At 39.2% G+C, this 14,386-nt stretch overlaps 1 long non-coding RNA gene across 1 annotated transcript in view; it reads right to left on the bottom strand.

The window, feature by feature from the left end:
* Positions 1-13,835, bottom strand: part of LOC124901731 (uncharacterized) — a 37,459-nt gene extending 23,624 nt beyond the window's left edge. The window contains exon 1 of the long non-coding RNA XR_007060489.1: positions 13,753-13,835. This is a non-coding gene — a long non-coding RNA (uncharacterized LOC124901731). The remainder of the gene's footprint in view (positions 1-13,752) is intronic.
* Between the last annotated feature and the right edge of the window lie 551 nt (positions 13,836-14,386).

Genomic DNA, 14,386 nt, shown 5'->3' with positions numbered 1-14,386 from the left:
AATTAACAAAGATATTCAGAACATGAACTCAGCACTTGACCAAATGGACCTATTGTACATCTACAGAACTCTCCACCCCAAAATGCCAGAATATTCATTCTTCTCATCAACACATTGCACATACTCTAAAGTTAACCACTCAATTGGACATAAAACAATCCTCAGCAAATGCAAAAAAAAGCCCCAAATCATACCAACCACACTCTCAGACCACAGTGTAATAAAAATAGAAATCAAAACTAAAAATCACTCAAAACCATACATGGAAATTATACAACCTGCTCCTGAATGACTTTTGAGTAAATAATGAAATTAAGGGAGAAACCAGAAAGTTCTTTGAAACTAATGAGAACAAAGATACAACATGAAGAATCTCTGGGATGTAGCTAAAGCAGTGTTAAGAGGGAAGTTTATAGCACTAAACACCCACATCAAAAAGTTAGGAAGATCTCAAATCAACAACCTAACATCACAACTAGAAGAAATAGAGAAGCAAGAGTGTACCAACCACAAAGCTAGCAGACGACCAGAAATAACCAAAATCAGAGCTGAACTGAAGGAGATTGAGATGTGAAAAACCATACAAAAAATCAATAAATCCAGGAGTTGGTTATTGGAAAAAAAAAATAAGATAGACTGCTAGCTAGACTAATAAAAAAAAGAGAGAAGATCCAAATAAACACAATTAGAAATGACAAAGGGGATGTTACCACTGACCCTACAGAAATACAAAAATTCATCAGAGATTACTATGTACACCTCTATGCACACAAACTAGAAAATCTAGAAGAAAAGGATAAGTTTCTGGACACATACAACCTCCCAAGACTGAACCAGGAAGAAATTGAATCCCTGAACAGACCAATAATGAAACTGAATCAGTAATAAAAAGCCTACCAACCAAAAGAAGTCCAGGACAGATGGATTCACAGCCAAATTCTACTAGATGTATAAAGAAGAGCTGAGACTCTTTCAGAAAATTGAGGAGGAGGGACTCCTTCCCAACTCATTCTATGAGGCCAGCCAGCATCATTGTGATACCGAACCCTGGCAGAGACAACGAAAAAAGAAAACTTCAGGCCAATATCTTTGATGAACATAGATGCAAAAATCCTCCACAAAATAGTAGCAAACTGGATCCAGCAGGACATCAAAAAGCCAATCCACCGTAATCAAGTAGGCTTTATCTCCGGGATGCAAAATTGGTTCAACATAGGCAAATCAATAAATGTGATTCACCACATAAACAGAACTAAAAACAAAAACTACATGATTATCTCAATAGGTGCAGAAAAGGCTTTTGATAAAATTCAACATCTATTCACATTAAAAATTCTCAATAAACTAGGCATAGACGGAACATGCTTCAAAACAATAAGAGCCATCTATGGCAAACCCACAGCCCACATCATACTGAATGGGCAAAAGCTGGAAGCATTCTCTTTGAAAACCAGCACAAGACAAGGATGCCCCCTCTCACCAATCCTGTTCAACATAGTATTGGAATTTCTGGCCAGAGCAATCAGGCAAGAGAAATAAATAAAAGACATCTAAATAGGGAGAGAGGAAGTCCAAGTATCCCTGTTTGCAAATGACATGATTCTGTATTTAGAAAACTCCATAGCTTCTGCCCCAAAGCTCCTTGATCTGAGAAACAATTTCAACAAATTTTAAGAATACAAAATCAATGTACAAAAATCAGTAGCATTCCCACAAAGAGAATAAAATACCTAGGAATACAGCTAACCAGGGAGGTGAAATATCTGTACAATGAGAATTACAAAACACTGTCCAAAGAAATCAGAGATGACAAATTAAAAAACATTCCATGCTCATGGATAGGAAGAATCAATACAATTAAAATGGTGGTACTACCCTAAGTGATTTACAGATTCAATGCTATTCCTATAAAACTACCAATGGCATTCCTCACAGAATTAAAAAAACTATTTTAAAATTCATATGGAACCAAAAAAAGGGTGCAAATAACCAAGGCAATCCCAAGCAAAAGGAACAAAGCTGGAGGCATCATATTATCTGACTTCAAATCATACTACAGGGCTACAGTAACCAAAACAGCATGTTACTGTTACAAAAACAGAGACATAGACCAATGGAACAAAATAGAGAGCCCAGAAATAATGGCACACACCTACAACCATCTAATCTTTGACAAAACTGACAAAAAACAAGCAACAAGCAATGGGGAAAGGATTCCCCATTCAGTAAATGGTGCGTAGTAAAAGGTAGAGGCCAACCTATGGGGGGAAGGAAGATGGAAAAACGGGGCTCTAGGACTGAGCCAACCTCTACCTTACACCACATACAAAACCTTCTGTATATGGCTAGCCAGTAGGCCAATGTTTACCTTACACCACATCCAAAAATCAACTCAAGATGGATTGAAAACTTAAATGTAAAACCTAAAACTATAAAAACCCTAGAAGCCCTTTGTCAGCAATCCAGAATCTACAAGGGACTTAAACAAATTTACAAGAAAAATATAAACAGTCACATCAAAAAGTGGGTGAAGGATATGAACAGACACTTCTCAAAAGAAGACATTTATGCTGCCAACAAACATGAAAAACAGCTCATCATCACTGGTCATTAGAGAAATGCAAATCAAAACCACAATGAGGTACCATCTCATACCAGTTAGAATGGTGAGCATCAAAAAATCAGGGAACAACAGATGCTGGAGAGGATGTGGAGAAATAGGGAATGCTTTTACACTGTGGGTGGGAGTGTAAATTAGTTCAACCATTGTGGAAGACAGTGTGCCAATTCCTTAAGGATCTAGAACTAGAAATACTTCTGACCCAGCAATCCCGTTACAGGGTGTATACCCAAAGGATGATAAATCATTCTACTATAAAGACACATGCACATGTATGTTTATTGCAGCACTATTCACAACAGCAAATACTCTGAACCAACCCAAATGTCCACCAATGATAGATTGGGTAAAGAAAATGTGGCACATATACACCATGGAATACTACGCAGCCATAAAAAAGAATGAGTTCATTACCTTTGCAAGGACATGGATAAAACTGGAAACCATAATTCTCAGCAAGCTAACATAGGAGCAGAAAACCAAACACTGCATGTTTTCACTCATAAGTGAGAGTCGAACAATGAGAACATATGGGCACAGGGAGGGGTACATCACACACTGGGGCCTGTCGTTTAGGGGTGGGGGGCAAGGGGAGGGATAGCATTAGAAGAAATACCTAATGTAGATGACAGGTTGATGGGTGCAGCAACCATGGCACATGTATACCTATGTAACAAACCTGCACGTTCTGCACTTGTATCCCAGAACTTAAAGTATAATAAAAAAATTAATTAATTAATTAAAAAACCCCTAGAAGATAACCTAGGAAATACCATGCTGTACATAGGACTTGGCAAAGATTTCATGATGAAGATGACAAAAGCAATTGCAACCGAAATAAAAATTGGAAAATGGAATCTAATTAAACTAAAGAGCTTCTGCACACCAAAACAAACTGTCAACAGAGTAAACAGACAACCTACAGAATGGGAGAAAATATTTGCAAACTATGCATCCAACAAAGGTCTAATATCGAGAAACTGTAAGAAACTTAAGCAAATTTACAAGCAAAAAACAAACAACTCCATTAAAAAGTGGGCAAAAGACATGAACAATCACTTTTCAAAAGAAGACATACATGAGGCCAACAAGAATATGAAAATGCTCAACATTATTAATTATTAGAGGAATGCAAATCAAAACCACAATGATATACCATCTCACACCAGTCAGAATGGCTGTTATTAAAAAGTCAAGAAATAACAGATGCTGGCGAGGTTGTGAAGAAAAGGGAATGATTATACACTGCTGGTAGGAGTGTAAATTAGTTCAGCCATTGTGGAAAGCAGTTTGTCGATTCCTCAAAGAACTTGAAACAGAATTACCATTTGATGTAGCAATCCCATTATTGGGCATATACCCCAAGGAGTATAAATCATTCTACCATAAAGACACATGCACACATATGTTCATCACAGCACTATTCATAGTAGCAAAGACATGAAATCAACCTAAATGCACATCGATGGTAGGCTGGATAAAGAAAATGTGGTACATATACACCATGAAATGCTACACAGCTATAAAAAAGAACAAGATCATATCCTTTGCAGGAACATGGATGGAGCTGGAGGCCATTGTCCTTAGCAAACTAACACAGGAACAGAATACCAAATACTGCATGTTCTCACTTATAAGTAAGAGCTAAGTGATGAGAACACATGGACGTAAAGAGGGGAACAACAGATATTGGGGCCTACTGGAAGGTAAAGGGTGGAAGGAGGAAAGGGATCAGAAAAAATACCTATCAGGTACTATGCTTATTACCTGGGTGATAAAATAATCTGTATGCTAAACCTTTGTGACATGTAGCTTACCTATGTAACAAACCTGCACATATGCCACTGAACCTAAAATAGAAGTTAAAATAAATAAATAAATAAATAAATAAATAAATAAATAAATAAATAAAATGTGGGTGTAAGCAGATAAAGAGAAGAAAACACAGTTGGTTAAAGCAGAAGGAGCTGGCCAGGTGGCAAAAATGGAACCAAGTAGAGGGTGGTATTCCGTACCACCCGTGCCACAGATTTGTACATAGCAGGGCAATGACAACTACTGTGAATTCGTTCATTCACTCATTTGACAAATATTTTTGAATGTCTATTATGTGTCAGTTCTGTCTAGGCGCTATACATAGATGAGTGAGAAATCCGTTCCTGTTCTCCTGGAGCATATAGTCTAGTGGAGGAGAGAGAGATAACACAGATGTAAACACATAGATCAACAAAGTGATTTCAAGTAAATACACATAATAAAAAGAAAATAACACAGGGTTACATGAATAGGGCATCGCTGAGAGAGTGGAAGCTATTTGAGACTGGATGGAGGGAAGGCTTCTCTGAGAATTATGAGAAGGGGCCAGCTGATGGAAAGATCTGGAGCAGAAAGTTCCAGGCAGAGGAAACAATTAGGGTAAGATCCTGAAGCAGAAAGAAGCTTAGCAGAAAGAAGGAAGACTGGTGAAGGGGGAGGGTAGTGTGCTGGAGGGGGTGGTAAAAGGAGACGGCTTGGAGAGGAAGCTGAGGCCCAACCATGTAAGCCTTAACGAACCGTGGTAAACAACTTGGATTTCATTCTAAGTGCAACAGAAAGCCGTGGAAAGATTTTAGATGGGAAAGTTACATGGCATGATTTATGTTTTCAAAAGGTCACAATGTCTCGTATGGGAGAATGGATTGAAGTGGAAGCCTGAAACCATGAGAAACGATGGTGCCCTGATCTTGGGGTTTGGAAGCAGAGTTGAGACAGACTGTGGCTGTATTTTAGGGATGGAGCTAATAGTATGTACTTATAGGTAGGATTTTGACAGAGCACCATTGGATGGATAATGATGCCATTTGCTGGATGGTGGAAGACTTGAGGAAGGGCTGTTGGTGGTCAAGAGTTCTATTTTTACTTGTTAAACTGGAGGTGCTTGTCACATGATGATGCCAAAGAGACAATTAAATGTATGAATTTAGAGTTCAAGGGAAGATGTGAATTTGGGATTTGACAGATGTTAAACTATAGGACTGGATAATGTTACCTATGGAGGGAGGGAGGATGGAAAAAATGAGGCTCTAGGACTGAGCCTAAGTTCTCCAACATTTAGCATTTCTGCTTGGGAAAACAGTTAAGCACAGGAGACTGAGAAGGATCTTTCTGTGGCATATGTGGAAAATCAGGATGGTGTGGTGTCACTGAAGCTGAGAAAAAAGCTAACCAAGGAAGAAGTGATCAATTGGGTTAAATGCTGTTGAGAAGGAGTACAAAATTGAAGGCAGAATCAACACCATTGGTGACTTTCACAAGAGCAGATCCGGTGGAATGAGAGATGGGAAACATGACTGGAGTGAATCCAGGAAAGAAGGAGGCCTGCAAGTAGAGGTTGTGTCTTTCAAGACATTTTACTGTGCAAAAAAAGAGAGAAATTTAATATTGCTACTACTTACTGATTCTACCCTGTGCTAGACATTTTTGCAGATGTTATTTACATTGTTCACAACAACCTTCGAGGTATTTTTAAATTTCCATTGTATAGATAATTAAAAAGAGGATCAAACGGGTAAAGAAACTTTCATAAGGCCACATCATTAGCAATGGCAGAGCTGGAATTCAAGCCCAGATCCTTCTTAGTTCAAGTCCTATCTCATTCTGTTACACCATTTTCTCACTGGAGCATTGGGTTACTCCACTGGGATGATTTGCAGTGACCTAAGAATTCCCTCTCAATTTCTGGGTGGAAATACATTTTTTGAAAGTTATTGCCATCCTGAAATTTCACTATTTGGGATTAAAGAAAACCTGTTCTTGAAGGTTTTTCAGACTTATTAAACAGAATTTTTTTTTTTTTTTTTCTGAGATGGAGGTTTGCTCTTGTTGCCCAGGCTGGAGTGCAATGGCGCAATCTTGGCTCACTGCAACCTCTGCCTCCCAGGTTCAAGCGATTCTCCTGCCTCAGCCTCCCGAGTAGCTGGGATTACAGGCATGCGCCACCATGCCCAGCTAATTTTGTATTTTTAGTAGAGACAGGGCTTCTCCATGTTGGTCAGGCTGGCCTTGAACTCCCGACCTCAGGTGATCCACCCACCTCAGCCTCCCAAAGTGCTGGGATTACAGGCATGAGCCGCTGCGCCTGGCCTAAACAGAATGTTAACATGATTTTAAATATTGTCTATAAGCTCATGACATCCCACCTTTTTCTCAATCCAGAACTTTCCTTTGGGTTCTGGGCTCATGCATTCAATTTGACATTTGAATGTCTTACAGGCATTTGAAAAGTGACATACCCCAAATGGTATTATTGACTTCCACACCCTCCTCTTCCAATTGTCCACATATGAGTAAATGGTGACAGGATCCTTGTCCTTTAACTGCTTATTGCAGAAACCTAGTAGTCATCTCCTAATCCTCTCTTTCCTCGTCTTCTACATCAGATCCATCAAGAAGTATGTCCATTCTTCCTTTAAAAGATGCCTCAAATCTGTCTGTCCTTTTCCACCTTCAGCATTCCCATTCTTGCTACTGCCCACCTGAAGTGGGTCTTTCCCACACCAGCATCTCGCCTGTCAATGTTAATTTCCTTCTAGCACTTATCCCATGCTGTTATAACTTAGTTTCATGTTTTGTCTGTTACATGTCTCCCTCTCTAGAATGTAAGTTCTATGAGGATAGGGACTCTATTTTCATTACCGTTGTGTCCCCAGTGTTTAACATAATTAACACAATGCCAGGCACATGATAGATGCACACCAATATTTTGGTACATGAATGAAAGGATGAATGAAAACATAATTTCCATGTGGAAGGTGGGGGCCGAAGTCAAGGAAATACCCCCAGCCAACTGTGACTAAAACAACAATGCTTTCCCCCAAAATAACCCACCCAAAGTCAGCAAATTCAGTCTCTCCACAGTCTTTGGGACACTGTGGCTCCTGGGGCTAGCTCCCTGCCAATGACATCCTTTCCTTCTCCTTCTCCTGGGTAAGTTGCACATTATTCTTCTTTGACATGGCAGTAATACAAAGGACAGCTTCTTGTTCAGTAGTTTACAAAGCACATGCAGGTATGTAACTTTAATAACCTGTGAGATAGGGAATCATGTTTTACAGATGGGACATTTGAAGAGTAAGTGAATATGAGTTGGTAAAAGCTGAGCTGAGTGTTGGGCCCTCTTGACTCTAGTTCAACTCTGCTTTCCACATAGCGCTCTTATATTTTCTATAAAAAGGATATCATAACCAATTTCAAAGTATAATAATGTTGTAAGGTCAATATTATGTGATTTGCCTAAGCATAGAAACCCTTCTGTTGAAAAGGGACATCTACTTAAGAATTCTACTTAGGGTTCAGCTTGCTCATTTCTGAAAACTAGGAAATAAGCTAAAGATTGTAATGATTTATAACTTACTGAGACCTTTTTTTTAAAAAAGAAACACAGTCTCACTCTGTTGCCCAGGGGCATGATCATAGCTCACTATAGCCTTGAACTCCTGTGCCCAAGCAATCCTCCTGCCTCAGCCTCCCGAGTATCTGGGACTATAGGCATGTGACACCATGCCCAGCTAATTTTTTAATTTTAAGTTTTGTAGAGATGGGGTCTCACCATTTTGCCCAGGCTGGTCTTGAACTCCTGGCATCAACTGATCCTCCTGCCTCGGCTTCCCAAAGTGCTGGGATTACTGGCATGAGCCATTGTGCCCAGCCTATTGAGATCTTTACATGTAATGATCTCACTTGTTCCTCAAAATAACCAAGGGAAATAGGTAGAATCGGTTTTATTATCCTCATGTTTGAGACAAGTTATCTGAGGCTTAGGAAGGAAAGGGCTTAAGGTTATCTGTTTATAGGACATTGATTAAAAGCAAGAATTCCTAAAGGAACACTACCTGTGTTTGGTTTCTGGTAGTAATACAATCTTGGGTGAATTCTATAATCCTCTGTGGACTAGTTTTTTTTTTTTTAATCAAAATGAGGATAATAATAGTATGTAGCTCATCAGATGGGGTAAAGATTATATTTGTTAATCAATATAAAGCATTTTATGTAATGTTTGGCACATGGTAATCTCTCAATAAATGCTAACTGTTAAAAAGTGACTAAGCCAGGCCTTGGACCAGTTCTTTGCTCTAACTTCGTTTCATTCAAGTTTGTCATATACTTATAAAATCAAGTGGCAACAAATTTCTTTTGAAATGCTCTTTTGGGGAGCATCTTAGGCCCAAGAATGTCTTGTTTAGATTTTTACTTAACTCGTACCTGAATTGCAGAAAAAAGATAAAAATTTAACGTTGCTACATCTTATGAAATCACTGGATAGGAAGTAATTTTGGCAGAGAGTATGCTGAAGATCATGATATCAACATAAAAAGTTGTTCTTTTTCATTTTTAGTTTTCTTCCAAACCTTAAGAATGTGGCAAGCTCTTTTTATTATGACACATGCTCAGACTTACCGTATGTCAAAGGAGAAAAATTTTCTTTCAACATTGCATGTTTAACATATCAGAGGCTGCATCAATTATTTATCACTTTTTCTGTCTCTTTGATTTCTGTGCAGAATATGTTATTCCAAGACCTGGATTAATTTAATCAATATATTTTAAAAAAGAAAACCAATGGGAGTAATACCAAGAACAGAAGCCATGGTCCTCAGAACCCGGAAACTTAAAAATTATTATGACCGTGGTTAACTCCCCAGGCAAACTCACATAAAACAAATCAATATTATCTGTCCTTATTAACAGGTTACTTCATTCAAACAAAAGTTCTTATGGAGCAGATACTGCTTTCTTCAAATTCCCATGTTTGGCAAAATCTTAATCTTTGCCATGGGTTTTCAGTTTCTCAGAAGGAGAGAAATGACATTCCTTTCTCAAAGGAACTGCTTTGATTGCCACTCTATTCTCTTTTTGGTTTGTCTGCAATCTCTGTAGCTTATCTGGCCACACATCTTTCTGAGGCTCTCCTATGGGAGCACGAAGCTGAAGGGCAGATCCTCAGTACCAAGGCTAGGTCTTGAGGTTGGCGCTGGTTAATTTTGAGTTTTCAGCCACTGCCACCTCCTTATCCCAAGAGAACTCCATGCCATTCCCCTACTTCACACTGGAAGAGTCTTCCCTGATGTCCAGTGACAATTTTAATTTTGAGGTTAACACTGAATTGGGTAGTAATCTTCATCTCTGCCACGTGCAAAGTCTCATCTAGTTTTATATTTCTGTTTTTAGTTTTTATTTTTTTGTTTTGAGACAGTCTTGCTCTTTCGCCCAGGCTGGAGTACAGTGGCTCGATCTTGACTCACTGCAACCTCCACCTCCCGGATGCAGGCGATTCTCCTGCCTCAGTCTCCTGACTAGCCGGAATCCCAGGCGCCTGCCATCATGCCCAGCTAATTTTTGTATTTTTAGTAGAGATGGAGTTTCACCATATTGGCCAGGCTAGTCTGGAATTCCTGACCTCAAGTGATCCACCCACCTCAGCCTCCCAAAGTGCTGGGATTACAGGCGTGAGCCACTGTGCCCGGCGGAGTTCTACATTTCAAACAATGCTGGAGATGCCCTTTAAGATCTTTACGGTTCACTTTCTAAAAAGTGGGAAAATAAAGATGACCTTCTACTTTGGAATTTCGTGAGAGTTATAGCATGATAAGATTGGAAGAGCTACTCTTTAGAGCTGGAAAAACTGGGTTGAAATCTTGGCTCTGTTACTAGCTGATTAACGTGGATAAATTTTTAATCCATCCTTAATTTCAGTTTTCTTATCTCTAAAATGATCATACTAACACTAAGTGGTAAGCTATTTTGAGGATTAAAAAAATGATGTATATGAGTTTCAATGCCCGATGCATAGTAAATCCTTGGCTTTTTTTTCTCTCATAGCGCAAGTACCATGAGGAACTAAGCTTTATGTCAGGGGCTCACAGACACATTTGGTGTGGCCTGAGCAATTTTATTTTTTAAAAAATGGGTTGGCCAGGTACGGTGGCTCACGCCTGTAATCCCAGCACTTTGGGAGGCCAAGGCGGGCGGATCATGTGGTCAGGAGTTTGAGACCAGCCTAGCCAACATGGTGAAACCCCATATCTATTAAAAATACAAAAATTAGCTGGGTGTGGTGGTGCGCACTTGTAATCCCAGGACTTGGGAGACTGAGGCAGGAGAATTGCTCGAACCCAAGAGGTAGAGGTTGCAGTGGGCCAAGATCAATGCCACTGCACTCCAGCCTGGGCGATAGTGCAAGACTCAGTCTCGGGGGGAAAAATGGGTTAAGGCCAGGCACGGTGGCTCATGCCTGTGAACCTAGCACTTTGGGAGGTCACGGCAGGAGGATCCCTTGAGCCCAGGAGTTTGAGACCAGCCTGGGCAATATAGTGAAACTCCACCTCTACAAAAACATGTTAAAAATGAGCCAAGTGTGGTGGCATGCATCTGTGGTTCTAGCTACTCAGGAGGCTGAAGTGAGAGGGTCACTTGAGCCTGGTAAGTCAAGGCTGCAGTGAGCCATGATCGTGCCACTGCATTCCAGTCTGGGTGACAGAGTGAGACCCTGTTCCAAATAAATAAATAATAAAAAGGCCTAACATATATTTTAAAGTTGGGAAATTTTATATAAAAATCTGGTTAGCTGGCTTTTCTCAGAGAGAAAAACAAGAAGATGTGGTAACATTTAGCCTGAATTACTCAAGGGCCAATCTTGACTGGAGTTTAGAACTATGAAAATAAATATAACTTAGAAGCTGCTGGAGGCTGGGCGCAGTGGCTCACGCCTGTAATTCCAGCACTTTGGGAGGCCAAGGCAGGCAGATCACCTGAGATCAGGAGTTCAAAACCAGCCTAGCCAATATGGTGAAACCCCATCTCTACTAAAAATACACAAAATTAGCTGGGTATGGTGGTGGGCAATCCCAGCTACTTGGAGGGCGGAGGCAGAACAGCTTGAACCTGGGAGGTGGAAGTTGCAGTAAGCCAAGATCCCACCACTGCACTCCAGCCTGGGCAACAAGAGTGAAACTCCATCTAAAAAAAAAAAAAGCTGATGGAATCCCTCAAACACTTTAAGTCTTGAAAGAGATGCGACTGTGATCTGAGTCACATGTAGTTACAACTTCTGTTTCTCAGATTATAGATTAACTTGCTATTTTATTTTTCTTGTTCTGTACAGTGACTGGAGAGAATTAAGTGACGTCAGGGACAAAAACTTCCTGCTTTCTTAGTTAATGGTCCTTATTACAAATTAACTTTCCCTTTATTGTCCTACTTTGCTTAGAACACATGACAAAAATCTCATGACTCTTACACTCTCTGTAAAAAATGTTAAATGTATCTTCCCAAAAGAAATGCTGCCTGTAACATATTAAACTGCTGTAACTATGCATCAACCTTGTATGAAAAATGTCATAATCTTGCTAAAAACTCTCTGATTCTGTATGAATAAGTGAAACCTTAACTTCTCTATTTTGAAGCACTGATTCCATTCCTTTGGAGTTTGTGTTTCCATGTGGGCCATCTTCAAACTTTGTGCTTGAATAAACTCTCTTTAAATTAAACCCTGATCCTTTTGGTTATTTGAGGTTGACAGTACTGACTGTCTCCTTTAGATGGGGTGTACATGCTGTATTTTATCACAGCCCCCAGTATACCCTATTTTTCTTATTGGTTGGGTATCATAACTTTCCATAACCTGCCAGACTTCTATGGTTGTTTGTTTGAGATCCCTGGAGTTAAAAGTCCACCATCGTTAAGGTGTGTACTTGAAATTGTTTTTCTACAATATTGGGTCCAGGAAGACTCTCTAAGACCTTTTAAGGGTAGAGGACATAATGCCAGAAAAGACAAATATTTTGGATTACATACAGATTTAAAATTTTTATATGGCAAAAGACATAAACATAGTCAAAGGATAAATGATTGTCAGGAAAATAATTTGTAATAAAGACAAAGGTAAAGACAAAAGTTTAATCTTTCTTTCTCTTTTTTTTTTTTTTTGAGACAGAGTCTCACTCTGCTGCCCAGGCTGGATTACAGTGGTGTGATCTCGGCTCACTGCAACCTCCACCTCCTGGATTCAAGCAATTCTCCTGCCTCAGCCTCCTGAGTAGCTGGGATTATAGGTATGCACCACCACGTCCAGCTAACTTTTGTATTTTTAGTAGTTACAGGTTTTCACCATGTTGGCCAGGTTGGTCTCAATCTCCTGACCTCAAGTGATCTGCCTGCCTCAGCCTCCCAAAGTGCTGGGATTACAAGCGTGAGCCACTGCGCCCAGCCAAAGGGTTAATATATCTATTTTACAAGAAGAGTTTGCCACCTGCTGAAAGACAAACAATTGAATAAAAAATAGAGGAAAGAATAAAATGGGGCAAAGGCTGTGGAAAGGCAATTTAAAGAAATGCAGATGGCTACAAAACACATAAACACAGGAAGTCAACTTCTCTGTTAATCATGGAAAAGCAAATTATGACAACAGTAAGAAACCATTGTTTACTTATTTGGCAGTAATGAAAAAGAGTGCTGATGTCCCAAGCTGGTACAAAATAGGGAAATAAGTATTTTCAAATATCGTTGGGAGTGTGAAAAGGTGCAGCCTTTGGGGAAAACAACTTGCCTAATATCTAATAAAATACAAACAGTGTGTGATTTACTGACCCCACTTTTGGGACTGTATCCTAGAATAAAAGGCCAGTATATTAGATTATACGTAAAAGTTTTTTTGTAGTATTGTTTGTAACAGTAAACAAAATAAACCAAAAAAAAATACTGGAAACAGCCTGAGTGGATTGTAACAGCCATTCTACAGATGGTCAGGTAGCAATGAGAAAGACTGAATTATAAACTGGAGGAATACCTGTGATATGCTGCAAAGTCAAAATAAACTGTTGCAAATTATGTATACAGCATGATCCTATTTTTATTTAAAACTCTAAAATCAACATATGTGTATATCTTTCTATAAAAATGAGAGGCTTGTAAATATGGAGGTGAGAGAAGCTATGGGAACAGAGGGGATGCGGGAGGAGATTGTTAGAGTCTGCAAGAATGTTAGCTTTAAAAAAATCACATCTTATTTTGCACAAAGAAGGCATACATTCCTTATATAAAAAAAAGTCAAATAAAAACATTTAAAACATGTTTTTCTTTAGCAGTGGGCAACTTACATGTTCACTGTCCTGAAGCCCCTCGATCTTGAGGAAGCATAATGATAAAGTGCTTTCAGTCACCCAACAGTGAAGCTGTCTGCCCTGATTAGGGATCAAACCTTTGACTTTAGTCTCCACAGCACAAAGTTCCAACTGAACAAATACCCTCTGTTTACACATCATCATAGCAAACTCAGAGACTGCTTGCAAATTATGCAAATATACACTGATAAGAGGATCACACGCCTCCTTAGTTAACTATGCTTTTATTATATGTTAGGCCTTTGAGTTCAAAAACAATTATGATATTGCATTTCAGTATAGTATGAAGGTAAAAGTATACAGTCTTGGCTGCAGATATAATAAATATAATTGCCCCTTTTTTACTGATTTACCCAGTGTTCTTTAAAATGTGGGTTTGATGTCATGTAAGCCATATCTGCTATTGTCACAACCACCTATAGGTTTCAGATTAGTAAAGTCTTTGAAATATGACTCTCCTAAGCAGAAAGGAATCTGCAGCACTTGGCATAAAGATTATAATCTTTGGCCTTCCTGTGGTAAGATTTATAACTGTGACCTTAGGCTCTATTTCTTTTGGAGTGTAGTCACTTTAAGTTACCAGTGATGATTGCTTTGAGTTATTAGGTCA

Source organism: Homo sapiens, chromosome 7, assembly GCF_000001405.40.
Source record: "Homo sapiens chromosome 7, GRCh38.p14 Primary Assembly".
Classification (NCBI taxonomy): domain Eukaryota; kingdom Metazoa; phylum Chordata; class Mammalia; order Primates; family Hominidae; genus Homo; species Homo sapiens.
Note: the sequence above shows the minus strand (reverse complement) of the source record. Positions and strands in the feature narration are given on the sequence as shown.